The following is a 2,191-nucleotide window of genomic DNA, read 5'->3' on the forward strand; positions in this document are numbered from 1 at the left end:
AGAGGGAAATTTATAGCACTAAATGCCCACAAGAGAAAGCAGGAAAGATCCAAAATTGACACCCTAACATCACAATTAAAAGAACTAGAAAAGCAAGAACAAACACATTCAAAAGCTAGCAGAGGGCAAGAAATAACTAAAATCAGAGCAGAACTGAAGGAAATAGAGACACAAAAAACCCTTCAAAAAATTAATGAATCCAGGAGCTGATTTTTTGAAAGGATCAACAAAATTGATAGACCGCTAGCAAGACTAATAAAGAAAAAAAGAGAGAAGAATCAAATAGACGCAATAAAAAATGATAAAGGGGTTATCACCACCCATCCCTCAGAAATACAAACTACCATCAGAGAATACTACAAACACCTCTACGCCAATAAACTAGAAAATCTAGAAGAAATGGATAAATCCCTCGACACATACACTCTCCCAAGACTAAACCAGGAAGAAGTTGAATCTCTGAATAGACGAATAACAGGATCTGAAATTGTGGGAATAATCAATAGCTTACCAACCAAAAAGAGTGCAGGACCAAATGGATTCACAGCCGAATTCCACCAGAGGTACAAGGAGGAACTGGTACCATTCCTTCTGAAACTATTCCAATCAATAGAAAAAGAGGGAATCCTCCCTAACTCTTTTTACAAGGCCAGCATCATTCTGATACCAAAGCCAAGCAGAGACACAACCAAAAAAGAGAATTTTAGACCAATACCCTTGATGAACATTGATGCAAAAATCCTCAATAAAATACTGGCAAATCAAATCCAGCAGCACATCAAAAAGCTTATCCACTATGATCAAGTGGGCTTCATCCCTGGGATGCAAGGCTGGTTCAATATACGCAAATCAATAAATGTAATCCAGCATATAAACAGAGCCAAAGACAAAAACCACATGATTATCTCAATAGATGCAGAAAAAGCCTTTGACAAAATTCAACAACCCTTCATGCTAAAAACTCTCAATAAATTAGGTATTGATGGGATGTATTTCAAAATAATAAGAGCTATCTATGACAAACCCACAGCCAATATCATACTGAATGGGCAAAAACTGGAAGCATTCCCTTTGAAAACTGGCACAAGACAGGGATGCCCTCTCTCACCACTCCTATTCCACATAGTGTTGGAAGTTCTGGCCAGGGCAATCAGGCAGGAGAAGGAAATAAAAGGTATTCAATTAGGAAAAATGTATTTTAATAGCAAGTTAGTTTAGTGCACTCTTACTTCTTTCTTTACTACTGGTATACATGTATATTCCTTTAAATAAATCTTGGAATTTATTTAAAAATTTTAAATTATACTAATGAAACTGTATATTGTTGTGGATTCATAGGTGAATTTGGAAAGAATTTGTCTTTATGATACTAAATCCTTTTTATCCAAGAATCATATGTGCCTTTATATTAATTCCAGTCTATATTTATATCACTGTGTAAATATATAGAAAGGTAGATACATACAGCTGTAGTTATAGATAGATACACATATGGATAAAACATGTTAAATCTATATCTATCCCATATAACATATATGCATGTTATATGTGTGTGTGTGTATATATATGTTTGTGTTATTAAAGAGCTCCCTTAAAATTTTTCTTTTATTTCCTATATAATTTTAGGTTGAACTTGAATTTTCCTTGTATAAACAAGCAAATATTTATACTAGTTTTAATACTGAGGTTTAGACATTCTATCTTATTTTAGCATTGAATATTTTCACAATTATTATAAATATTATGTAATATTAATAATGTAACTTAAAAATATTTAAAATTGTACCTTTGAATTATTTTATTGTTGAATTTAAATTCCTTTAAGTATGATAGTAAATTTATATTTTATGCTTTCTCTATGCATATGCAAATTATCCACTTCTCTACCTCTATGTAGTAACATATGAAAATCAGGCCTCTGTTCTTCTAATGGACATACACATGTTTTCATATAGAATATCAGACTCTTTATAGTATTTAAAATCTTTAAAGACGTGAATATGACCTTTTAACAAATATATTTTAGCTTGTACTGAGAATCCCCTATTTATTTTTTATTTGAGCTAACCAATATATTATTAATATTATAGGATTACCAAATTTGGAATCACACTTTCATCCCCAAGGTGGATATTTGTTTTATTTTTTTGCCAATTTCTTGTCTTACTGTTTCAAATATTGTTGGATATTA

Source organism: Homo sapiens, chromosome 18, assembly GCF_000001405.40.
Source record: "Homo sapiens chromosome 18, GRCh38.p14 Primary Assembly".
Taxonomy (NCBI): domain Eukaryota; kingdom Metazoa; phylum Chordata; class Mammalia; order Primates; family Hominidae; genus Homo; species Homo sapiens.